Source organism: Homo sapiens, chromosome 2 (genome assembly GCF_000001405.40).
Source record: "Homo sapiens chromosome 2, GRCh38.p14 Primary Assembly".
NCBI classification, from domain to species: Eukaryota; Metazoa; Chordata; class Mammalia; order Primates; family Hominidae; genus Homo; species Homo sapiens.
Window position 1 is genome coordinate 6,725,684 of NC_000002.12, and position 27,507 is coordinate 6,753,190.

General features: G+C 40.5%; 1 long non-coding RNA gene across 1 annotated transcript in view; it reads right to left on the minus strand.

The window, feature by feature from the left end:
- Positions 1 to 3,484: 3,484 nt before the first annotated feature.
- LINC00487 (long intergenic non-protein coding RNA 487) overlaps positions 3,485 to 27,507 on the minus strand; it is a 41,144-nt gene continuing 17,121 nt past the window's right edge. Inside the window, exons 2-6 of the long non-coding RNA NR_038369.1 lie at positions 10,940 to 11,032; positions 7,013 to 7,121; positions 5,472 to 6,577; positions 4,966 to 5,060; positions 3,485 to 3,979 (exon numbers count right to left, since the gene is read on the minus strand). This is a non-coding gene — a long non-coding RNA (long intergenic non-protein coding RNA 487). The remainder of the gene's footprint in view (positions 3,980 to 4,965; positions 5,061 to 5,471; positions 6,578 to 7,012; positions 7,122 to 10,939; positions 11,033 to 27,507) is intronic.

Here is a 27,507-nt window from a genome sequence, read left to right on the forward strand (position 1 = left end):
CAAGTTTACCAGATTTTAAAGGGCACAACTTGATGTATTGTGGTGGAGAACTGCAGAATGTTTCAAAGCACAGGAAGGAAAGGTTCAGGTTTCAATTGTAAAGGTCAGTGTGATGGCAGGGGAAAGCATGGATTGAGGAAGGGTAAGGAGTGGGCGTGGGGCTAGCAGTCCTCCATCAGGGTGGAGAAGGAAGATATGATTGAGACTCTGGCCAATGGAGTGAAGAAGGGGCCAGGGATTTCTAAATGAGAAGTGACATACTTAACAACTAACGACACATGGGGGAAGTGGAAAGAGGGACACCTAGGAGATCTGGGTGTAAATCTGAGTGTAAAAAAAATATTAATTGATACAAGAATGGGGGAATAAATGGGACTGAAACACTTACAGTATCCAGTGCTCACTGGTGTCAGACTTCATGCTAACCCCTTTGCATGAATTATTTTATCTATACAATAACCCTAAGGAAGAAGGCACTATTAAGGTTTGCATTTTAAGAGAAGAAAATTAAGGCTTAGAAAAGTTATGCAATTCTCCCAAATCATATAATTATTAAATGACAGAAAGAGCAATAAATAAATCCCTGCCTCACTCAGACCTGTGGTTCTACAAAGTCGTAAAGGCTGGGCATTCTGGATTGATCCTTCCTTTCTTCTGCCTCTCCTCAATGGAATTCAGTTCCATTCTCCTCAATAGAATCCAAAGTTTTAAAGGAAAAGATCTGGATCCTATCTATTTCAAATGTCCTCTGTTACCCTTTAAGTGCCTCGTACATAGTAGGTATGAAATGAAAGTTTGTGATTTGGGATATAATAAACTTTAGGCATAAAGCTGGTGACACCAGTGCTATAGAATGTCATGTCATTATGTGTGGATATCTTTCCCTTGAGTTTTTTATTCATTCCTGATTGTTCTGTCCTAGAGCAAAGCATTATGCAAACAATGACAGTAGTTACTGGGGAGCTTGAACATGCCATGAACATGCCAAGGGACTGGAAGGAGGACTTGTGGGTTCTTATGCCTCTGTCTCTCAGACTCAACCCCAGCCCTAAAACCCAGATGCTGGGTCTGGACCTAGGATATCCCACTGCCATTGGGAACTCTTCTCTGTGAGCTTCTGTCAATGTGGGGCTAAGAGGAGGGGTGGCGGAGGAGCAGGGACCTGCTCTTTTCTTTCTGCTTCATGCCCTTCTCCGCATCACCCCGGGAAGCCTTCTTCCCCAGGCAGCACGAGGGCTCATTTCAATTTTTGCTTTTCCAACACCCCAAAAATCAGCCGCAATGCACCACCTACTGGGTCGGTCAGTGTTCCCTCCCAGCAGTTGGGGGCCCACCTGCACGTGACATCTAGCCCAGGCTTCCTTCAACCTCTGCAGCCCTAAAGGTGCCAGCTGCTCCCTGCAGTGGTTAATATGCTCTGTGTTGACTCCATATCCCCTTCTGCCTTTGTTGTCCTTCAATACCTGTTCAGCCACTTCCTTCTATTACAATTCTCTCTGTTAAAATAGCTGGCATCATTCCCGTTTTCCTGAGAATACCATGACTGAGAGAGACCAGAAGGTATATTTCTCCCCTTATGGCTGATGGAAACTTTGCAGGCCTCTAGCAGAAAATTCTCATAATCTGGAGGCAACTCTCTGACCTGATGTAGTAGCTGCCCTTGCACTTGGTAAGGCGAGACTCAGGAGGCCTGAGTAAGCCCGAGCATCAACAAGGCTGTAACTATAAAGAAAGGAAGGCGCCGCCACTGGGGTCAGAAAGGGCTGCCTCTGTGGCTACACCCTCCTGGGGAATTTAACTGACCTAGTGTGCTGAACATCACACAAGAATAAAAGAACAACTGAATTTGTTAACTTGCCCTTCTTCTTCCATAGTATACTCTTTTTTTTTTTTTTTAGATAGGATCTTGCTCTGTCACCCAGGCTGAAGCGCAGTGGCTGATCTCAGCTCACTGCAAGCCATCCTCCCACCTCAGTCTCCCCAGTAGCTGGGACTATAGTCATGCCACTGTGTTCAGCTAATTTTTTATATTTTTTGCAGAGACAAGGTTTTGTCATGTTGCACAGGCTGGTCTTAAACTCCTGGGCTCAAGTGATCCTCTTGCCTTGGCCTCCCAAAGTGCATGGTAGATTATTTTATGCATTAGCTATTCAACTCCCTCCTAAGTGATCTAATAGAAATGGTGCCTTAAAATTATTTCTGAGTCAAGCACTCCTACTCTAGAGAGATTGTGTAAGAATAGATTTTATTATTGGTTTTCTTAAACATAATTATTTTCTATGATCTGTTCAATATCTCCCTCTAAAAGACAGAAACCTCCCTGGTCCACAACATCAGGGCGCATCCTCGCAGTGTTTAATGAGTATCTGCTTTGTTTCAGCTAATCAGTACCTTTTACTGTGTTTGGCACCAGCTGACAAATGGCAAGCCAGAAAAAACTACTGTTTAAATGCCAGCAGAATCCCCCAATGGGTTGTTAGCTTAAAAAAAGAAAATTACCTTTGGTCCTTCTCCATATCGTTGAGCATTTGAGTCGTTTCATCAGAATCTCTAAAGGCACCATCCTAAGTGTTATTAAAGAAGAGTAAGTGGAAGAGAGGGAAGGAGATGGAAATCACTCAGGTTTGGCTGTATTGGTGCACAAAGATGGCTAAAGGGAATCACGTGACTTGCATCACCATCACTAGCTGAGTAAGTCAGGCTACAGCCCGATTATTGCATACATGTCAAAGGGCAATCTATCTGTCCTCTTATCATGCTTATGAACCAATTCAGAGAGACGAACTAATTTGCCCAATATTACACACCTAGTTGGAAACAGGGCTAGGCCTAGAATTCAGATCTGTGACATTCAAAATAAGGACACCTTCTACTCACTTATAGTTCATCCCTCACATTAAATTTAGGGGGTTTTTTGGTATTAATTAGAACAAGAAACAGCAATTTTTTTCAGCAAAGGAACCAATAGAATATACTTTAAGCTTTGCAGCCATACTGTCTGCATTAGTCCATTTTTGCACTGCTATAAAGAAATACCTGAGACTGGATAATTTAGTTTTAAAAAAAGAAGTTAATTGGTTCACAGTTCTGCAGGAATGTACAGGAATCATGTCAGCATCTGCTTCTGAGAAGCCTCATGAAATTTACAATCATGGTGGAAGGTGAAGGGGAAGCAGGCAGGTCTTACATGGCCGAGAAGGAGCAAGAGAGAAGGGGGAGGTGCCACACACTTTTACACAATCAGATCTTGTGACAACTCACTCACTTACTATCATGAATACAGCAGCAGAGAAATGGAGCTAAACCATTCTTGAGAAACCGCCCCCATTTCACCTCCCACCAGATCCCACCTCCAGCACAGGGGGATTACATTTCAACATGAGATTTGGGTGGGGACACAGATCCACATCATATCACTGTCTATAGGTAGTCAAATGTGCCATGGTATCATGAAAGCAGCCATACCTAAATAAATGAGCATGGGTGTGTTTCAGTGAAATTTTATTTAGTTACAAAAACAGATCGTAGTCAGATTTTGCGCACAGAGTGTTATTTGCTGACCCCTGAGTTAGGTCACAATAGCAAAGAGACCTCAATAGCTCACTTAAGCCAGTCAAAGTTCATGTCTCTCATACTTAAAGAATCTCAGTATAGAGTTCAGAGCTGATCGAACAATTTGGCGGTGTCAGGAACCCTGGAAAAATTCTTCTTCTTGCTGGCAAGTCTTAATGTAAGACCCTCAACTCATTTTCCCAGCTATCTGCTCTAGCTCCATTTATCAGCTTTGAATTTCAGCCAGTAAGAATGGGAATGCAAGGAAATGGGGGACAGACCAATTTTCTTTAACAGCGAAGTCAGAAGTTGTTCACATTGCTTTTCTCCACACATGGCTGGTCACTCATCAATCACAGGGCCACCTCTAGCTAAAAGAAAAGTTGGAGATGTGCAGATTTTGGAAAGCCAAGAGCACTTCTATGTTCTATTGCCAGAGGAAGAAAGATAAAAAAAAAAGATGAAATAGATAAGCAGTGATTGTTCCCTCAGCAGATATTTTATTTACTAAGGAATATCTTAGAGAATGTGCCAAATATAGCTGCTTTTTTTAGTCAAATAAAAACCAATATGCTAGCATTGCCTTTAAAATAGCTGCTTCAATACCGCTTTACCCGCTTTAAAAGGAAGTGTTGCTTTCCAGTAGAATAAGTGTAGGCTGTAGAGCAAAATCAATCTGGTTTTGTTCCACTATTCATTAAATATTAGGGAACCCTCAGTTTTCTTAACTGTAAAATGGGCCATAAGTAAATCAGGATTAAAAGAGAAGATTTATGTAGAAGTCCTGGTTCACAGAAGGACATCAGTTAATCAAAAAATGTCAGTTCCCCTCCATCTTTATTATAAAACAGGGAATTAAGTGGCATGTCAGTATATGACAAGCTAAACATGATCTAACTCTCACGTTGTGCCATATTTTATGCTGTATGACTCAGTTTTTAATGGGCTAATTCATCAGTACATAGCCAGCTGTACCACCCTCAAAGGTAACATAATACAGAAAAAAGAACTGCCTTGGACTTCTGGGAGCATGGGTTTATTTTCTGACTTTCTGACTCACCTGCCTGAGGAATTGAAAACTAGAATTACGTACTTGGCATTCTGCAGGTCATTTTGAGGTTTCAGATTCCAATGTCTCACCAAGAAGCATTTCAATTCCATTTTTAATAAACTGAAAAGTGAGACTTTCTTAATATCTTTTTATAAGTGTCTGCACATATAATGACTCTCATCACAGCCCTTGGAATTTTTATTTGTAAAATGAATCAAGGGCACTTTCCTATCATGACTTCTTGTTGTACATGCCTGAATCAGGTGCACAAATTGAGAAGCTTCACTTGGTCAAAATTTTAATGTCGTATCAGCAAGCGTCAATCTTAGAGAAGCAATTAAAGAAATTCATCCCAAACTCACTTGATGGCCCTGCCTGGACAGAGATCTTGGGTCTCCACTCCAGCTAATCAACATTCCACTGAGACAGCATTTTCATTTCTCCAGAACATGAATCTCTGAAAGAAAAAAGCCATTGATATAACTCATACCCTGGCCCAACCCTTATCCCCCTTCTTGCAGCTGAGACAGCTAGTTATTGATTTTCAGGCTTCCTACAGTCAGCAGCTAGAGCTAGTTTGTCAGGAAAGGTGAAAGAGGTAGGCAGGGCATACGATTTATTTTGGAATTGATGCCCTGTGAGCAAAGTCTAAGTGGGAGTCAGACAGGTTAATGTGAGCAGAAAAGCATTCTGGAAGGAGGTGGCAATGTTAACGGAAATGAGAAGGCACAGGACTGATGGCATGTGCAGAGAGCTGCAGCATGCTCTTGCAGGGCAGAGTCCCAGGGAGGTGGCAAGAGGAGCAGGAGAGGAACACAGTGTCAGACAAGCAACCTATCCCAGAGCTTCATTTTTTAGGCAATCAGACCAACAGAGGGAAACGAATGTGGTCAGGTCCGGCTTCCAAATGCAGCATTGTGCAGCTGCGTGAAGGTCAGTCTGAGTGGGCAGAGGCTGGGCTTAGGTCAGGAGGTCAGTGCACAGTTGTTTTGAGAGATGATGGAGATCTCAGCTGGGTCCCAGGCATCACTGTGGAGAGGATAGGGCAGATTCAATCATTATTCCAGAGGTCACAGCAGTGGGGCCTACCTGATTACACAGTGGTGAGGAAACAGATAAATAAACAGGAGGGGCCAGAGGAAGAGGGAAGAGGGAATTCATCTGAGAGAGATGTGCCTGGAGAGCAGAATGGCACAAGGATGGGCTCTAGGGAAGGCCACAGGTGAAGGGATGAATCATCCCAGAAGAAAAGAAACCCCTTCTTCTCACAGGGAACAGAGAGCATTGCCAGGTGAGGGGACTTTTCAGGTTCAACACAACAATCCCCTTGTCTGTCTAGCCTTTATACACTCATCCTGTGGGGTGCTGTGTCCCAGTTTCTATAAAGCAAGCCTGCCCTTCATGCTTTGCCCCCTTCCTACAAGCCCACCTTCCCTTTCACTTCTCTACCTTGTTATGATGCGGCAGGAGGCCCGCACCAGGAGCCAACCAGATGTAACCGCCCAATCTTGGACTTCCCAGCCTATAGAGCCATGAGCCAAAATAAATGTATTTTCTTTATAAATTACTCAGGCTCAGGTACTCTGTAATAACAACAGAAAAGAAACTGAGATAGATGCCCACCGAGAAAGCAGTCTATGATTTGAGATAGTATCATAAGTGCTATGTTCTGAATATGACCCCCAAATTCATATGTTGAAACTTAATCTTCAAAATGAGAGTATTAGGAAGTCAGGCATTTAGGAGGTGATTAAGTCATGTATGTGGAGCCCTCAATGGGAATTAGTGAGTTCATAAAAAGGCTGAAGGGAACTAGCATTGGTCCTTTTCATTTTTTCCTCCATGTGAGGTTCCAGCATTTCTACTCTCTGGAGGGAAGAGCAACAAGATGCCATCTTGAAAGAAGAGAGATCAGGTCCTCAGCAGACACTGAACTTGCCAACACCTTGATCTTGAACTTCCTGGCCTCCAGAACTGGAAGAAAATAAATTCATGTTTGTTATAAATTACTCATTTTTTAATAACAGCACAAATGGACTAACATTACAAAATAATAAGGGCCCTAAGAAAGCATAGTCACCTCCTTGACAGTGGACAACAAGAGAGTACATCCTGAATCGTCCTCAAGTTTGTGTCCCAGATATGTAGCCAATTTTCTCTTACCTATTTTCCCATATAAATAGGGAAACAAACCCTATCACCTAAATATCCAACAAACCCTATTACCAAAAATATTTCAACAAACCCCATTACCAAAAATATTCCAACAAACTCCATTACCTAAAATATTCTGAGTTTTCCTATGTCTTGCAACATTCCAGTCATGATATTGGCTTTCTTAATTACAATTCCCCTTGTCTCCCAGCTATGGTAGATTCACTAACTTTCCTAGAGTGAGAAACACCTCACCTGGTTTCTCACTCTCAAATTGTTCTCCATTGGAGTCCTCACATGTCTCTTCAATGTGACCTGGATACTTGATCCTCTGCCAGGAAACAGCTCTTACTCTAGACTGCTCCTGCATCAGAAAAAATAGTGTTCAAATAAGATTTACAGATCTCTAAGACACCAGTTATTTTACCTCCAAACATCTGTAACACCCAGGGTCACTGTGTTGGCTTAATAGGAAGCCATCTACCTACTAAAATTTGGAGAAGCAAGAGATCCCCACAATTATAATTTACATCCATCTTCTTCTTTAATGTCTAGAATTTTTTTGGCAGCTAGTTATTCTGAGTTAAGAACTTTGTGCAGCGGAAAGAACAATATAATCAGAGTCTGGGGAACTTGGGTCCAGAGCTTAAATTCACCACATTATTAACCATATGACTTGGAAATAGTATTTAACTTTGTTGAACTTCAGATTCCCAGTGTGTAAACTGGAAGTTTGACCCTTGCTTCCACAGACTACTTATGGGTTAGAGGGACTAGTAAAACTAGCGCTACATGTCATCTGTTACACAAGGCAGGCTTTCACACACCATCTCCAGAACCTTCCCTAAAGCTGATGGTGGTTACCTTAAGCACATACTGTTATACTTGAATACAATTTTCATAGGTGGATATATATGTTACAGAACAGTTGGAATATTATATTATAACTATTTTTTTAAACTTCACTGTCTGCTTTTGAAGGTGACAACATAATTTATATTAGTGGGAGTATGTCTCATTTATGAAAATACTTTCATGGCCTTTAGGTTATGTAAAGATCTTAAGTAACCAAACCCAAACCAAGTGTACAAGGAACTTAAAGGAAATGAGAGAGAGAGAGAGAGAGAGAGAGAAAGAGGGAGAGAGAGACAACACTGAGGAATTACTTTACAGAGCAAGTTTTCCCTGGGGTGGGGAGGACACATCACTGTAGAGATTTTATTTTGGTCTTAAATGTTTTTTTTTTTTTTTCTTTCTTCCCCTGGTAGATGCAAAAATGGGGTATGAGGGACCTGGGACTAGGGAATGAGTAAAACCAGGAGAAGAGGGCTCTGTTCCAAGGAGAAAGAAATCCAATCAATGGGGTATAGGGTCAAAGCAGAAGTAGCCATTGGGGAACTCCCAGAAAAAAGGCATGGTCAACAGTTAACAAGGTTTTTTGGATTTTGTTTTTAATGGTCAACAGATATTAAGTTCGGGTGTGGGAGGGGGGTTGTTTCTAATTCTTTTACTAAAGAGCTTTGTTAACTATTACAGTTCCTCAGTTTTGTCAAGCAGAATGAGGGAGTGACTTGTGTCCATGCTAGAGATGGGGTAGTGGGAAAACACATCTTTCCTTCCTGCCAGACACCCTTGAGGACCCTGGAAAAGACCACAGCAATTAGAGACAAGCAAGAGTGAGGCATCAGTGAAGCCTGGAGCTTACGTCTGGAGGGAAACCCAACAAAATGTATCTGTGGAAGGTGTAACCCGCAGGTTCCCAAAACCTCAGTATTCTCAGCAAATCAAGGGAAGAGAGCCCAATAAAAGCAGAGAATTTCTGCAGCTGCATGCACAGTTCAGATGTTCTACTGAACATGAGTCTATCATGAGATGCTGATGTCCAGCAAACCCAGAGGCACTTTTCAAATCCTCACAGGTGGAAGTCCTGTTGCATAGACAAGGTAATAAGATGCAGGATGTAGTGAAAAACAAAAGTTGGCTTTAGCCTGTGTGTACTGAGTAAGTAGATTAAATTAAGGACTCAATTTCATCAATTATAAGCACTTGTGAAGTTGCTGTGAGAGACAGAGATGATATTTGTAAGGTGGTTGGACATATTTAGTAAACAGTGCCATTGCCAGGTGTCTGCAGAAATGCATGCCCCATACCAACTGCAGCTAATGGCAACTCAACGAGGCAAAAATGGAGAGTTTACTTTCAGATACCCTATGTTTGAAACACAGCCTTCTTCAGGACAGTGGTTGCCACGCCTACATTGAGTTGAGAGCCTTAGACTCCATAAGCATTCAATATTAAATAGCAAAGCTCTTTCCACACTACCTAGCAATTTATTTCTGGGTTAATATAAGGTGATAGTTTCAACCTATAAATCCCATTAAGTTTGAATCCCAGTTACCTCAAGATAATGCATAAGAAACGAGGTTGTCATGGCAATTTAGATCCGAGATTCACACCCAATCCTAGACACTAGATCTGGGGCTCAGGAGACAGTATGTTTTCCATGCTTTATTTCTAATACTGGAATTATCTTCTTCCAGCATCCAAAACCCTACTGATGTAGTGTCTGTGAGGCAGAGATTGTCTTTTCAGATTGGCCAAATAGTGTTCTCGGATGGTAATCAGAAATACAATATAAAACTTTTTATATTGAGAAATTCATATTGGAAAATTCTATGTATCTAAAACCTTTTAGTAATGACTGTCTTTTAATCTAATATATAGTTTGAGGTAAATATAGGGATAATTTTCAAGCACATTTTCCTGGACAAATGTGTGATACCAAACTCTGAGCTGTTCTAAATAAAACCCTTTCATTAGCTAGTTCAAGGCTATATTTTCAACATTCAGCAAATAAAATATACCTCTCACATTTGAGAACTCTGTCACCAAATTTAACTTAGACACATTTTTCAGATTCCTCTTTCTGACATGATTACTTATACCATTGAAAGGTACACATATGTCCTAAACTATTTGAATTGTGACTTCTGTACAAATAAGAAGACCACTTTATCATGAGACCTTTCAGAAAGGTTAGAGGTTCTAAATTGTTTACCCTGTTGGCCAAGAATGTGAGAGCACAAGAATTATATGCTTTTACATGCCATTCTAGTGATTTCCAGTACCCTTTTTTGACAGTTTTGCTTTTTTCATGCATTTATTGTTTTCAAAGAGCAAAGGTCTTTAAATTCAGGGACAGAGCTCTCAGCTTTTAGATTGGCAGACCTCAGGGTTTGTCTACTCACATGGGGGCAGAAGCACCATAATTGCTGGTTGGTCCTGACATTTTCTTGATCTTTCTGTTTTCAAACACCACTTACCACTTTATCTAAGAAAATGCTTCTTCATAAGGAATATATTATTAATATTTCCAAGGGTATAAAATGACTTTCAGTCCTATTGACATGTTCTCATATATATTGTCTGCACTTAAAACAAAAATCATTAGGCTCTGGGAGCATTTTTATAAAGACCAAGCTGAGAAAGAGAAACATTAAAAATGTGTTTGCATGATGACTAACATCATTTAGAAAGTGTTCTTGAAAAGAACAATTAACTATATTCAAAATAACAGTATTTGAAGGTACTTCTATTCTCTCTGTTGTACAGATGAAAAGAGTGGAATTTAGGAGTGTTCTGAGGATTTCCAAATTCACAAAGGCAATATATCACAAGCCATAATTAAACATTCTTTGGTTGTGTTCATTTATTTATTAAATGAAACTAATACATGCCAGATAGTTCAGCCTCTTTGCAAAGAGACAAGATTCATTGTCCCACTCTTTAAGTTCATAATTTCTTAGGCAGACAAATGTGTTACCCAGTAAGTTGCCATACTATGCAATAAATGCTACAAAAGAGCAAAATTCATATTCTGGAAGAGGCTAGAGAAAGCTTCCAGGGGAACTTATTATCTCATCCGGGGTGGGGGGTGTTGGGGCTTTTGGTGTCTCTGTATTATCCTTACCTGGGGTTTCTTCCTTCTGAAGACTTTTTAAATTTCTATTCACACATAGTAAATATAGGATGGTTTTGTTTTTTCTTAAACCCATCAACTCTTCTGGAACCCAACAGACTTTACCCATCTACTCTCTATAAATTAAATGTCTCTTATTTTTCAACAAATATATAAAACCCGATTTGTTCAAAGGCATGCAGGTCTTTCCCAGTGCCCCCTACCTGTAGGCCAGCCAGCCTTTGCTCAGGATTTCTGGGGAGCAGGGTTCTCAGAGCTTCCTTCCAACTTGGGACATGGTTGCCAGGCTCCTCTGCCTGTGGAGAAACATCAGTCCTTTCAGAGTGAACTTTATTTCTGGAGATGGACAAAGTGTCGGGGCAAAGAAAGTTGAATGAAAGAAGTGACTGAGCGCAAAACTGCCATGTGTGGCCTAAAATGAGGTGGCCCTCCACAGTAGTGAGCTCAGTGTACTCCTAGGTTTTTGGAAAATATGTCTTTTGGAATTCTGCAAGATAAACATCAATGGTGTTAGGCAGATTGCCGAAATGAGAACCTCACCTCTTTGAAGACTAATTAATTTCTAGAGGTCAAGAAAATGCCACCACCTCCTCACTTGGCCTGCACACTTGATATCAGCAACTTGATTTCCCCACTAAAAACCAACATTTTATAAATTAATTTACCAAAAATATCAGCAACATACTCCCAGAGAGAGAAGAGAGGATGAAGAGAGAAAGAGACAGACACAGAGACAGAGAGAATCACTCCAAATATTCAGATTTCCTACCTGGACACATCTCAGTAGGGTATGTATGTCTTTGCTGTTGCTGAATGTAGGAAGAAGAAATCTAACCCTTTCTTGGTGTGTCTATTTATTTTTCTCTCTCCCTACACTCAAGTTAGAGTAGTCTTCCTAAAATACAGGGAGGCACTGACATCTTCAAAACTCTACAGTTGTCTCATCTGCTTCCCAAGAAAGTACTAAGTCTTCAATGTGGCCACTGGGTCCTCACCATCAAGCCCCACACTGGCCAGCCTGCCACCCATTTTAAACAAAAACCTACCACCCTTTAGTAAGCATAACATATTATTTCAGACCTTTGCCTATGCAGGATGTTTTTGCTTAGAATGTCCTCTCATAAATTTTCTTGCACCTAATACCTCTTATATTTTAATGCCCAGTCACATGCCCCCCTTACCCTGTCCATGACTTTCCCTTTGTCTGAATTACTAGCTCAATACGTCTGCAGCACAGTTTTCTTCTCACTATTTAACATGTTTTTTCCAAGCAACCTTGCACTTTACTTAAATGTTTTCATGCCTGATTTTCCCTACAGCATCAGAGCACGTCTTATCTCTGAGCTCTAGCTCAAACAGTGCTTAGCAGTAATGAAAGTTAATTGAATTAAATTAGATGTGTCATGTTGTATTGTTTGAACTCAGATTCAGAACTGTCTATAGTTGGCACTTAATAGAATTTTTGTTGTTGAAGAACAAAATAAAGTATTTAAAAAGCCAACACATGCGTAAAATGAGAGTAAAGGAAATGATGAGCATCTCATTATTGAAAGGAAATAGCTGGTGGTGGTTGAATTTATTTTCTTCCAAGTTTTGTGCATATTATTTTTCATTATAGTAATAATTTCCCAAGTACTTTTCTCCTATTATACATATTAGTTTAATGAAATGATTCTGGTCATGTTAAATTCTTTTTAAACATTAATATTTTTATTAAATTATTTTTATGGCATCTTACCTCATCCCGAAAGCTTGTGAGACATTTAGCTACAAAAGTGGCAATTTCTACAAACCTGATCTCTTTCCTTATTTGTCAACCTCTTGAAAGGACTAAATTTTACATGCTTTTTAAGTCAGTGTTTGAAACACACATACTATAATGAACCATTTTTCCTAATGGCGTTATAAATTGGGCACTTATGTTGGGTTTCGTCTTTCTAAACTGCAAGAATAAACTTTAGAGGCTTAATCACTTTATGATTTTTCAGCCATGGTCATACACCAAGGATTCAGTCCACTGACCAAGTCTCAATGAAAACATGGATCTTTACTGAAGATTTCCTTTAGGAGTATAGCAACAGGTTTATAGAGGACATTGCACAGTATGACTTCAAGAAAACAACTTCTCTAGAATGTTCTCTGTTCACTCAAAATTTATACTCACAGAGCTGCTCAAACTCCATTTTGTTTTTCCAGTACTGATCTCCAGCTTACATTGTTGTCTCCTTTACTTAATCCATCTTGTCTCCTCATCTTCCTCTTCCAAAGAAGGGAACTCCTGACACTGACTACTTTCTTGAGAGGGGCAGCCAACCAAAATGCTAGTGAACCCTCCATTATAGTACATAAACAACGCTTTTATTAATATCTTTGTGCCTAAAGTTTTTCTAGATTTTAGATTTTTTCAATACAATGAATTCTCAGAAGTAAGCCTGCTTGGACAAAAAGAATGAATATCTTCAGAGCTTTAAATAGCTACTGTGAAGGGCTAGATTGTGTCCTCTCCAAAGTTCATATACTAAAGCCCTAACTCCTAGCACCTCAAAATGTGACTGTATTTGATGATAGGGACTTTAAAAATGCAATTAAAGTAAAATGAGGTCATGAGAGTGGGACTCTAATCAATATGGCTGGTGTCATTGTAAGAAGAGGAAGTTAGGACGCACACACACAGAAGATCACAGGAGGGCACAGAGGGAACATAGACACCTACCAGCCAAGGAGAGAGGCCTCAGAAGAAATCAATGCTGCTAACACCTTGATCTTTTACTTTTAACCTCCAGAACTAAAACATAAAATAAACTTATTTTGTTTAAGCCACCTAGTCCATGGTATTTTGTTAGGGTAACCCAAGCCAACTAACACAGTCTCTTCTATGTTTTCAAAAGCTTTAGACCAATTTATGCCTCCACCAGCAGAGTAGGAGAATTGTGCTCAGCTTGGTTCTAAGGAAAAAAACCTGTACTATCCTCATCTCAAGGCAGGTGACCGCAGGTGCAGTCACTGTCACCAGAGCAGCTGGACAAGGCACAGCACAGCCACATGGGAGCTCAGAGGGGCAGGATAAGCTTCTTGCAGTGAGATTCCTGCAGGCACCAGGCAGAAGGCATTGCGGGTAACTAAATACAGCTGCAGAGGCCACTGAAAGAAAGGTTGAAGCCACGGTCCACTGTCGGCCTCACCTTAAAGGCTGCAGCAAGTGCTAGCGCCCAGCAAATCCCCACTGGCAGTCCAAGCTGATTTGTGCCTGATGTAGCCTTTACCTGTCTTCCCTCAAACTGTTTATATAATTCATCACTGCTGCTCACTTCCCTTACAATGCTTTCCGCTGGGCTTCCGGAAACTCCTCTGGCGGTGACCTCCACAAGGTCACCCTGCAAAGAGGAGAGGAAAATGCACTTTAGCTGGGTGACAGCTGCTGGGAGGAACAGGCTTCTGGAGGTGCCATGTGGGCCCTCAAGGCCCCCTTTTGTGTTATTTTTAATGGTTACATGCTTAACTCTCCTTGAAATGCTGCCACGGGGCTGACCCAGCTGTAAGTGAGTTCTTGCTAATGAAATGGCACGAGTCCGTAACCTTCCCCCTCTAAAGGTTTCCCGGTGTCTCGCTGCCTCTGGTCTTCTTCCCAAAGACTTCCTCCTCCATAGAGTGTGCTTTCTACACACAGGCTTTGTCCTGGTACTCCTGTTCCTGAATTCCATCACTAACAACTTTGCAAAATTTGCCATCACTATTGATATGGTTTGACTCTGTGCCCCCTTCCAAATCTCATCTTGAATTGTAATACCCATGTGTCAAGGGAGGGATCTGGTGGGAGGTGATTGGATCATGGGAGCAGCTTCCCCCATGCTATTCTCCTGATAGTGAGGGAGTTCTCATGAGATCTCATAATTTAAAAGTGGCAGTTTCCCCTGTGCTCTCTCTGTCTCTCTCCCCTGACGGCTTATGAAGAAGGTGTTTGCTTCTCCTTTGCCTTCCGCAATGATTGTACATTTCCTAAGGCCTCCCAACCCATGCTGAATTGAGAGTCACGTAAACCCCTCTTCTTTGTAAATTACCCAGTCTCGGGTAGTTCTTTATAGCAGTGTGAAAATGAACTAATACAACTATAGTTTTTAAAATTTGGTATCACTATTGTTTTTAAAATGTAATATTATTGTTAAAAATATTTTGAGTGTACATACTCCATACATGCATACATATCTTTGTATCAATTAGACATTTACTGCTACTATATACGTATATTTTTATTAAAGCACAACCAAAAAAAAAAACCCTCAGAAATTAAAGGGAAAAGAAATTAAAAGGCTGAAATTCAAATCCTGTAACCATGAGCAAAAGACCACCACAAACAACTTTCCATTTTCATTTCACACCATGCCTTTCTGAGTGCCCCGGTGCAACTCACCCCAGATCCTTGCCATTTTCCACAATACAAAGCTTCTTTTCTACCTCTTAACCTTTATAGATTTTGTCCCTCTGCCTAGATGGTCTACCTAACCTTTTCACCTAAGAAACCTCCCACCATTTAAAATCCAGGCTAATTATGAAAAATGAAAATCACATACACAGACAACAGGAAACCATGCTGTACTATTCAAGAGCTCAAGCAAATAACAACAATAAATCATTTGTTAAAAGTATTTGAAGGTATGCTTCAATTGCAAGATAAATACGCAAATTAAAGACTCAAGAATGGAAAAGTAAAATGATAAGAATTCCCCTGAGCATTTAAAATAGTTCAACATAAATCTTAGAGTTCATGCATCTGGTTATAAAAGCAACTACAATTGTCCCAAACTTATTCTTGATAAAAATATATAGAAATAAAAATTAATAGTATTAACCTGAGTTCAAAACACCAGACTGTATTAATAGAAATTGTAACAGGAAGTAAAAAGGGAGTGCTATGTTCTGAATGTGTTTGTCCTCTAAAATTTCTGTGTTGAAACCCTATCCCTCAAGGTAATGGTATTAGGAGGCGGGGACTTTGGGAGGTGATGAGGTCATGAGGGTGGAATCCTCAGGAATGCAGTTAGCACCCTTATTATAGAGGCCCCAGAAAGCTAGCTCATCTCTTCCACCCTGTGAGCACATAGCAAGAAGGAGACATCTATGACCCAATCAATGGCTCCTCACCAGACACCACATCTGCTGGCACCTTGATCAGACACTTCTAGCTTCCAGAACTATGAGAAATTAATTCCTCCTATTTACAAGCCACCCAGGCCATGATATTTTGCGGTGATACCTGAATGAACTAAGGCACCCAACTCCTGCCTTATTGTTAGAAAACTCAAGAAAAAATATAATTGTGAAATACTAACAACAGGAATATAGTTTTAAAATTTGTTTGAGATACTTAAATATAACTACTAGTAGCATTTCAGATAGTATTTAAATCTTCTCAATCACAGAATAAGAAACAGCAATCAAAACATAACCCATAAAGCAAAAGACAAAATAGAAAAAAAAAACAAGGCATAAATATCAGCATGAGATAAGATGACATGAAAAACAACAAATAATTCTGTTATGTAATATTATGAAGTTTTTAAAATGTTTTGGCAAATTTTAATAATATTTGGAAAATATTTATTGGAAATACTAAATGTAATAAGCATAATATTAATATTTCTAAAATAAAACTGGATAGAAAGATATATAAACACAGACACATATAGATATGCAAATATCGGTGTGTGTAGATATATGTGTGTGCCTAGGTATATCATCTATCTATAAGATACTATATATAATCTGTATGTATATATGCAAACACACATGCTTATTTAAAACATTATTATCATATTGGTATAAATGAAATCTCATTAACAATGATTAGGCAAAGTTGATGTTGTTGCCTGTTAGGCACTCGTAGGATATCTGTCTCCTACAAAGTTTTCTAGAAGGACTTTCAACTTAATGGAGTCTTATAAAGGTGTATAAAACAAAACAAACAAAAATCCTAGTCTGTTGTCAGTAACTACCAATGCAAAAATCAAAATTTCAAAATGAATAGATTTTGTATGACATACTTTAAAAAGTAAAAACAAAACATAGCAAAAAAATTAATAGTTTTTTCCTTGAACAAATAAGAACTTCGATGTTTATATTTTCCTCAGTTCTTCTAAACAAATATCGTAAGTTTCCTTGTTTTCAAATGCGTGTTTCATCGATTTTCCTATTCATACCATCCATTTTCCCTTCAAGTTGCTTTTTCAAAGCTTGTTGTGTTCCTTCCCTCCGGACCATAGAGCAAGCACTGGAAAGGGTGAGCAGGGAGTGTTTGTGCAATTCTCATCTGTGACAGAGACGGGACTGACAGGTTTAGGAGTCAAACATAGTGGTCACCGCGCTCTGGCCAGTGGCACCGTCCACATCTTTTTCCTGAATTAGACTTTAGAGAAAACAGCAGTAGTCATAATCTAACGTTTAGAGGCTGCGGCCTTTTCTTCACAGTGGTACCCCACATATGTCTACGTGTTATTTCTTTCAACCCCAGTGATCTTAAATTGTTGTCTGGGGCTCCCAGGACTCCTTGAAGGAGGCGCACCCTCTCCACAGCGGACATTAGCGATGCTCTTCACTGATCTTTCATGAGAAAGGAGGTATCTCTCCAGCTTCCAGCATGGCCATCGCTGGCCATGTGACGGAAGGGTTGGCTCCCTGTGGAGCCGGATGAAGGTCCTCTCTGATTTTTCAGAGATGTGCCCTGCATTTCCTCTGTAATTTAGAAACTTCCTTGTGACCTGTCACCCGTGAGCATTTCATTGGGAGCTGAAGCCAGCATGTGGATGCAGAGAATGTACTCAGAGAAGTCACAAGCCACGGTTTCTCAATGTGGCTCTGCACACACTTTTCCATGGTCTGGGCAAATAGCTTAACCCCTGCTAGGTCTTTCTTTTCCTCATCTGAACAGAGGGAATAGTAATCTATGCTTTGTCTCTATCTTAAGACTGTTCTGAGGGCCCAGTGAGCGAATAAATACAGACGCACTTGCATGACTAAGATGCACGGATGGGACCAGAGGGAACTATGATGTATACAACCCCGCTCAGCCCCCTAAAAATTCAAGCAATTTTCTTCAGTCTCCCCAATACAGACCACTTGTAAATAGAGTCAACCCTTGGTATCAGTGGGGGATTGCTTCCAGGACAAACCCCCATATCAACATTCACAGATGTTCAAGACCCTGACATAAAGTGGTATAGCATTTGCACATCCTCTCATATCCTTCAATCATCTCTAGATTAGTTATAATACCTAATACAATGTAAATGCTATGTAAACAGTTGCTAAACTGCTGTGTTTAGGGAATAATGACAAGGAAAAGAATATACACTTTCCATACAAATGTAATTTTCCCCTAATATTTTCAATCCACAGTTGGTTGAATCTACAAATGTGAAACCCATGGATACAGAGGGCAGACTCCATACTGGAATGAACCTGTGATTACTATGTAATGCATTGATTATTTGGGAAATGTGTTTTGTTATTGTTAAAGTCTCTATATAGTCACCCAGATTAGTAGTTTCCACTCTGACCAATTACTAAACTAAAGATCCTAGACACTCTTTCATTTGACTGTTCTATTCCGCTCCTGTTACAGTTCTAGGCACAGCTTGGCCCTCAATTCATGTTTTTTGATTATGAGAAAGATTTCTTTTTTGCAATTCTAACTGTATCCAAATAATAAATGGCACCAAACCACAGACACCAGCAAAACCCTGATTAATGAAATTACACATCACTTTCTATCCCAGCATTTGGAGGCTAACGGCGATATGCATAATGACATGTCACATGCTTCAGATACCATCAGGATGTCCTGGAATGATTACTTATTGCCTGTGGGAGGAAATCATCAGTAGGAAGGGCATGTTGGAGGGATGGCTTCCACAGTCGCTGGGAAATAGCCCTGTGTGGAGTGATTTGAAAGTTGCATTTTTTTCTCGTGCTGGTCAGCTTTCTATTTGTATACATATATATATAATTTATTAAATTTATCACAAAGGAACACAAGCCAGTCAAACTTCTTGGCTTTGATAGTGTGGATGAAGTTGTTAAACTTATTCGCTAAATGTGCAATACACTCTGTGGGAGAGAAGTGTATGAAAGATGTGTGTTGGTGAAATGAAATGCATAGAGCTGTGGTTTGTGTCCAGCTTTGGCATACATGGGTTTGGTGGCCTTGGGCAAGATTGCACCTCAGTCTCCTCACCTGTGTAATGGGAAACGACCTCATGGGGTTATTATTTTTAACGTAAATTATTTACTTTTTGAAATTTTTTATTTTTATATTTTTTAACTTTTATTTTAAGTTCAGGGTTACAAGTGTAGGTTTGTTATATAGGTAAACTCATGTCATGGGGGTTTGGTGTAAAGATTATCTCATCACCCAGGTACTAAGCATAGTACCTGATAGTTATTTTTTCTGCTCCTCTCCCTCCTCTCATCCTCCTTCCTCAAGTAGGTCCCAGTGTCTGTTGTTCTTCTCTTTGTGTTCATTGGTTCTCATCATTTAGCTCCCACTTAGAAATAAGAACATGTGGTATTTGGTTTTCTGTTCCTGCATTAGTATGCTAAGGATAATGGTCTCCAGCTCCATCCACGTTCCTGCAAAGGACTTGATCTTATTCTTTTTTATGGCTGTGTAGTATTTCATGGTATATGTATGTATCACATTTTTGTTATCAAGCTACCATTGATGGGCACCTGGGTTGATTCCATATCTTTGCTATTGTGAATAGTGCTGCAGTGAACATACATGTGCGTGTGTCTTTATGGTAGAATGATTTATATTCCTTTGGGTGTATAACCAGTAATGGGATTGCTGAGTTGAATGGTACTTCTGTTTTTATTTCTTTAAGGAACTGCCACACTACATTTTACAATGGTTGAACTAATTTATACTCCCATTGGCAGTGTATAATCGTTCTCTTTTCTCTGCAACCTTGTCAGCATCTGCTGGTTTTTTGGTTTTTTGTTTTTAATAAGAGCCATTCTTATTGGTGTGAGATAAGCGCCTGGCCTATAGTCTGACAAGTTGATGCTAAAATCCTACATTTGCTTCTGAATTCTCAGAGCCCTCTTCCCTCAAACCAAGAAACCATCTTTCCATTTCACAGCACTGTGCGAAGAGCAAGTGAAATGATGCCTGCATTCGAGTTTACTTCCATCATTACAAAACGAGGTGCATCCAGGTATGACACTTGTTCAAAAAAATCAATTTACTTTAGTTCAGCAAAATATTTAGAGTATCTTTCATCCAAGCAGTACGATAGGTTCTGGAAATTCCCAAATAAGCAAAAATCAGCCAGGCTCCATGAGGAGTTCACAGTGAACTGCAGGACACAAAAGAAGAAAGAAATAATTCAATAATACAATGACAAATGTTAAGTAACCAATTAAGCCAGGCACTATGAAAACTCAGACAAGGGGCTGTTGTCCTATCTTGGTTCACAGAAGGCTTCTTGGAAGAGAGAACATGAAATCTGAGTCTCTAAGGAGGAAATCGAATTTGTAAATATTAACAAAAGGGGCTGGCTGTTGTGGCTTACATCTGTGGTCCCAATAACTCAGGAGGCTGAAGTGGGAGGATCGCTTGAGGCCAAGAGTTTAAGGCTGGAGTGAGCCATGATTGTGTCACTGCACTCCAGCTTGGAAGACAGAATGAAACCCCTACTCAAACAGAAAACAAAACACAGGGGAAGGCTACGAATTCTAGATAAAGGGAGCAAGAGCTAGGCACTGGGGCATAAAATTGTGTGTGCATGTGTGTGTGTGTGGTGGGGGAGGGGGAATACAATTTAGTGTTAACTGAAGTGTGAAAATCAAGATGGGTTACAGCAGGTGATGGGACCAAGTCAGAGACTTAACCCTCAGAGCAATGACTGGCCACTGCATAATTTTAAATCACATTTGCATCTTAGAAGGATTATACAGGATGCAGTTTGGGGGATTAATTTAAGGGGCCAGAAGAAAGATAGGGAAACACGTTAACTGGTTCTCAAAATGGTCTGAGCAAGTGATGTGGTCTGATGTACAACAGTGGTAGACATGAAAATGGGAAGGTTTTTTAAAGGAAGGAGCATTAGCTGGTGATGGCTGGGAGAGAAGAATGGGCAGAGGGCATAATCTAGAAGAATTCACAGATGGTCAGGTGGGTGATGCCACCCTGAATACTGAGCTATGCCATGGAACCAGAGAGAAGGAATAGGCTGGTGGCAGCGCAGGTGCACCCTGTGATCCAGGGCAGCACTTGAACTTGGGAGATGGCCAAGATGATTTGAAGATACTTTGATATTGAAATGTTCTGTGGAACTTCTAGTCTGCAGTTAGAGCAGACTCATCTTCATTTACCAGTAGTTAAGTTTTGTTTCTCCAAGTAGCACATTATCAATCATGCAGTAAGTGTGCAACTAATGCAGGTAATTTGGTTGCCTCTTGAACACCAGGGATGCATTTTGCAAAACTTACATAGATCATGAAATCAAGGAACCATGTCAGATTATTTTGCAAAATAGAGATTATTGATATCTGTTTCAAAGTAAGCTTCACATCCATTACTACTAGCCCTCTGTATTAGCTTTCGGATTCTAAATAACTTATCGCACCCAAAGTTCCAACCGCCAATACAAGAAAAAAGAGCTTTAGGAAATTCTTAGGAAAGTAGGCTGGCATGGTGACTCACACCTTTAATCCCAACACTTTGGGAGGCCAAGGAGGATGGATCACCTGAGGTTGGGAGTTTGAGACCAGCCTGACCAATATGGTGAAACACCATCTCTACTAAACATACAAAAATTAGCCAGGCTGTGATGGCGCGTTCCTGCAATCCCAGCTACTCAGGAGGCTGAAGCAGGAGAATCACTTGAACCTGGCAGGGGGAGGTTGCAGTGACCCAAGATCACGCCACTGCACTCCAGCCTGGGCGACAGAGGGAGACCCTGTCTCAAAAAAAAGAAAGAAAGAAAAAGAAAGAAAGAAAAGAGAAAAGAAAATTCTTAAGAAAGTACAGACTCATGACTAGACTTTTTTAAATCTAAGCTGAATTTAGGGGAAACCCCACTACACAGTTTCCAGGGAGAAAGGATTGAGGTAAGTATTCAGGAGAGCTTTGGACAAATTTTGAGAAAGTGTTTATTCACTTTAACTTCCAAGCACTGTGGAGTGCTGTGGAGGTGAAGGGCTAACAAATGAAGACACAAGTGTGAGGAGAGTACACATCCCACCCCAAGAGCCTGCAGTGAAGTGCAGGAACGTGTGTAATCAAAGGCATACCAGGAGCCAGGGGCTGTGTGTGTTTGACTGTGGTTTTCTGCCTCTTATTTATACAGTCCCTTCTTTTCTCTAGTTTCTAGAGTTTTTCAAACTTTCACACAATCTACAATTAAAGACCATTTTTTCTTATTTCCCAGAATTAATATGTTCTTTTTAAATACCACACTTTTGTCATTTCACAAAGTTTGGGGTGGGAGACAGTTTGGCCATTAAACTCTTTCTGCCGTCTTGATCCCTCATCCCTATGAATTTGACGGCCCATGGGTTCTAATGTGCTGATATGCCTGTTCCTCCTGGAGACACAAAATTAGCACAATGAAGGAAATTCGTGGTGGTAATTTCCAGTGTGTAAAGGTATTTGGGGCAAGTGAGCTGTGCCTCACTTGCCCCAAATTCCACTCCTTACTAACTTTGCAATAAGAAGGCTTTTCAGAAGATGCCATGTGAGCCATATGGCAGCTTGGAGAGATAATAGAAATCTAATATAAAATATGTATGATATTATATATATAAAGTATATATAAAAATATAATCCTAACCCCCCACAACTGACTGAACGGATCCCCTATTTGCCAAGGGGACCCCAGAGAAACCTTGAAAGTGAATTCACATCCATGACTAGACAGGAAGCTGGACACACCTCATTATACCCCCTCCATTTTGCAGTTTGAACCCCAAACTGATCAGTGTTAATTTCAAAATAGAGACCAAAAGACTGAAAGAACAAACTCTTTGAGACTGTAAGATACCAAATTATAAACAAGCCATGCCAGGCAAGGGTTAAGTCAGGCACACAGACGTAAGGCATAAAGTCTGTTCCAATTGCCACAGGTTTTTTTCTTTTTCTCTAACAGCTAAACAAGCACTGGCCTCGAGATAAGCCATGTTGAAGCAGCTGCACCTCCCCGGCCATGAGACACTGAGACCCCTGTTCCACCTGCTGTAACTACGGCTTTGGTTGGACAGGAGACTGATTTAAATCACTTTCTCCTGATAAGAAGACCACCAACCATGGGCTAGTTCTGGCTGGTTTACAGAGGCTGCCCACTTAAATGCCTTTGCGTCCTCAAATGACCTTTCAACATATGAGGTCTAATTAAAATACATTTAAATATTAAGTCTACTCCCCAAGGTAAACGTGGCTTGTACGTAACATGCATGTTTATTTGGTGTGAATGCATTAGGACTACCTTCATGAATATCCATGGCCCTTCCTTTAACCTGTTGAATATGTATGTTAGCCAATCAGTTCAGCTTCCAGCTCCTGTCCCAACCTCTTCTCCTCTGAAGTGCCTGTCTCTGATCTTTCCTAGAAGCTACACTTCCCAGCATGCGGGATGCAACCTTGCAGGCTATAACCCTTTACAAGAAATAAACTCTACTCTCTAAATTTATAGACTGTGTGATTTTTTAAGGAGACAAAAATAGCACATTACTGAAAAGAAGACTTATCTGCAAGCTGCAATATCTGTGCTTTTAATTTGGTTCCACTACATTCTTAGCTCTGAAGATTTTGGAAGTCAGTTGAAGTTGTATCAAAATGGTTAAAAAAATTTTTAAATGTCAACTTATGTGTTTTTGTGTTCTTAGAAATTTGTCATATCCCACAAATTCAACTCTGCAAAGATTTTCTTTAGAGTTAGGTTAGGGGTGATTAAGGAAGCTGATATTAATGTTTGTCCTGATTATAATGGTAAGCTATGACATTTATATTTCTTCAAAATTAATTAATTTCATCCTACAACCACAGAAGGAGATGGGACAGCTTCCTCACTATAAGAGCTTTCCTGACAACTTCATAGCTATGAGCTCTGGGAACAGAGCTCGGTAGCCTTTGAAACTGTGGTTCTACAACCACATGGGATTGCTTCGCACATATGCAAAGCCTGCAGGCTCCCACGGAAAAGTAAACCACAGTTCAAAACTCATCTTTAAAGCTAGAAAATAAATGCCAACCTGCTATTTTCAAGACCTGATGATAAAGCAGCATAGGCAAAAAAAAAAGAAATAAATAAATAAATAAATAAAAGAAAGAGAAAGAGAAAGCTTTCTAGACTCTAAAGTGTAAACCTGTAGGAAAGCTAATCTGAATTTCAAAGGCAGCACTAACCATTAATTAATTATAAGGCTCCAGGGCCCCCAGAACAGTAGCATAGGAAAAAAGAAAATGAATTCAGGCTAAGTGCTCACACTACAGAATAACCTATAGGAATTTTTGTCCAACCAAGAAAGTCACAAGTCACTAAAACTCCCCCCAGGGAGAATTATGGCCATGAGGAAGGAGCTGGGGAGACCCAGCCATGCTCCATCTGTCCGTCCTCAGCCCCTGGAGTCCTGCTCATTCTTACTCCACACACTGAGGTTCACAGGCACACTCCTATCTGGACTTAGGTTTTCTACCATTTCGTCAAATTGCAGGCTTTAATAGTTCTCTGGTTTTGCTTTCATTCTCCTTAAGCCTCAGACATAACTCACTTCTACCCTCCTCCAAAGTGGGACCACATGCCATTCCCTGTCTGGCTTTCCTTGGTCATGTTTGGTGAATACACTTCAAGGAATTCCATGTGAAATTCAAAACCAAAGGAAGGAAATAAGAAAAGGGAAGAAGGAAGGGAGGGAGGGAAGGAAAGGAGGGAGGAAAGTAAGGAGGAAGGAAGGGAGAGAGGGAGGGAAAAATGTCAGAATGGGAAGTGGAGAAGAGAACGTCTGCGTCTTAGTGGGAAATGGCACAGAGAAGAGGAAATCTATTTTCTCAGCCAAAATTGCCGTGTGCGTTCCCTTCGAATGCACACGAAGGGAAGGAAAACAGAAGGTTTGACCTCCCATTTGCCTGGGTACCAAGCTAGTGCTGTGTCTGTATGTAGCTCCCCAGACAGCTATCTCATCCTTCATCCTCAGAGCCTTGCCTATTCTGCAGATAAGGAAAATGAGGTTTAGAGAGATTAAGGCTGTTGCCTAAGGTCACAAAGCTAGATGTGACTGCACCAAGGTTTGAATGCCAGGATATTTCTGGTGTCAAATTCAAACGCATTTCTAGAATTTGGAGCCAATTTAGCAGGCACAGTGTAAGCTGTTGATGGTTTGCAATGCTTAGAAATGCCTCCATCTAGCACATAGACCTGCACAAGAAAGCCTTCTGCACACCAGCAATTATGATTTCAGATCCATGCTGCTTCAACTGCAGTAGCTAATTAGATCAAGACAGGAATCATGACACAAACCATAGTTCAAACTAGCTAATTAGATGAAGATCAATATAAAATCTTCTTTAGACAAAGGTACAATTGGACATTTCTGGCAGGGATATCTGCATGTTGAGTCAATAAGATAAGGACAAAAAACACATGTTAAAGAGTGTGTGTGTGCCAGAATCCTTTCTCCGCTCTCTTTAATGAAGTGAGCAATACTATTTCCTGGGGAAATAGAAGTGAATTAAATAAACAGGGACAGCTTAGCGCTGGCTGCAAAGGATTGTGGCTCAGGGTTGGAAGATGCACGGACTTGGTTACATATCCTTTGGAGCCTCAGTTTTCTCATATTTCAATGGGTCTGAAAACTACCAAGATGATTCATAAATCTTTTCTCGAGACTTGGAAGCTTATGTCTGTTTTCACACACCGTGTATTTTTTTATTGTCACAGCAACTCTTGGATGTGAGTGCAATCATTGTTATATTCACTCACAGAACAAGAAAACTGAGGCTTTTAGGTGAACTTGCTCAACGCTTTCCAGCTAAAATGGGGAGACATAGCACAGATTGTTCTAACTCTCAATGCCCCTACATTTGCTGGTAGAGGTACGTCCTTAGGTCTACGGCACATTGACGAGTCTAGTGACAATACGGAATCCCACGTCCACTGTGACATTAACTCATCACTCAACCTTTTGTGAGTCTGGAGCCCTCATCTGCAAATCCAAAGTATTCGATTAGTAGTTTTTAAATTTTGAGTGTCTCAGATTGCTCTGAAATTCTAATGAAAGCCATGAAATATGCCCTGGGTGAAGGAAGCTCATTCACAAAACATTCTGTATGGTTTTCAGGCATTCACTGCTTTTTTGGTGCTCACCATGAGCTCCGTATGGTGCTACCCACCAGAGGCCCCCTAGACTAAGTCGAAGGCTGTTCTCATACTTCACATCTCAGGATCCTGTGCAGAATATTTCTCCTAAAGAGAAAGCTCTTATTATATTTCATTTGACATTTTACCCTGAGGAAAACAGACTATTAAATAAAAATTAAAAATGCAAAAATAATGCACTTAAAACATGTACAAAAATGTATCATTGGGCTGAACATAATGGTTTGCTCCCGTAATGCCAGCATTTTGGGAGGATGAGGTATGAGAATAGCTGAAGGCCAGGAGTTTGAGACCAGCCTGAGCAACATAGTGAAACCCTGTCTCTGCCAAAAAAAACAAAAAAAAAGAGAGAGAGAAAAGTAATTAGCTGAGCATGGTGGTGTGCACTGGTAGTCCCAGCTACTCAGGGGGGTTAGGCAGGAGGATCACTTGAGCCCAGGAGTTCAAGGCTACAGTGAGCCATGATAGTGCCACTGTACTCCAGGCTGGGCTACAGAACAAGTTACTGTCAAAAAAAAAAACCTGTACAATTGATATTACTATATGCATAATTGAATAAAAGTCACACAATTCTTCAGGGTTTTTCTCTCAATCTGTAATTTCCAACCTAATCATAGAAACTAGTAGAATAAGACCTTGTGAAAGAACTTATAAAATCAGAAAACAGAGAAGGGAAATTGCAGATGGCTTTGTTTATCTTCCTTTCAATCCTCCTAAATAGTTTCCTTGATGAAAATGGACCCCAGACCAGAAAAGAAAACCTTCAACATGAGCGTAGCTGGAAAGTTTGTGTGAGCTCAGCTGTGGACCTTATTCTCTGAAGCCAACATGAACAGCAATGACAACCATCCTCATGAAAGGAGGACTTAGAAAGGAGAATTCATTTGTACTTCAGCTGTTCCATACACTTCCCAGTTAATGTTCCTCTCCTTGGGAGCAGGGGGAGGCTTATGTCAGGGGTTAGGAACATGAGATGTTAGTAAATTCCGGAGTAAAACCAAGCCAGAGCCTAGCTGACCAATGCTATGGTTTGAATGCTTGTATCCCCTCCAAAGTTCCTATTGAAACTTAAACCCCAATGCAGTAGTATTAAGAGGTGGGGCCTTTAGGAGATGATTAGGTCACGAGGGCTCCTCTCTTGTCAATGGGATGAGGGCCTTTATATTAATAACAGAGGCTTTACATAGCATTCAGCCCTCCTCGGCCCTCTGCCTTCCACCACGTGAAGACACAGCATTCGAGGCACCATCTTGGAAACAGAGAGACTGGGCTCTCACCTGACAAACAAACCAGCCAGCACCATGATCTTGGACTTCCCAGCTTCCAGGCCTGTGTGAAAGTAAGTTTCTGTTCCCTATAAATTATCCAGTCTCAGATATTTTGTTATAGCACCATAAATGGAT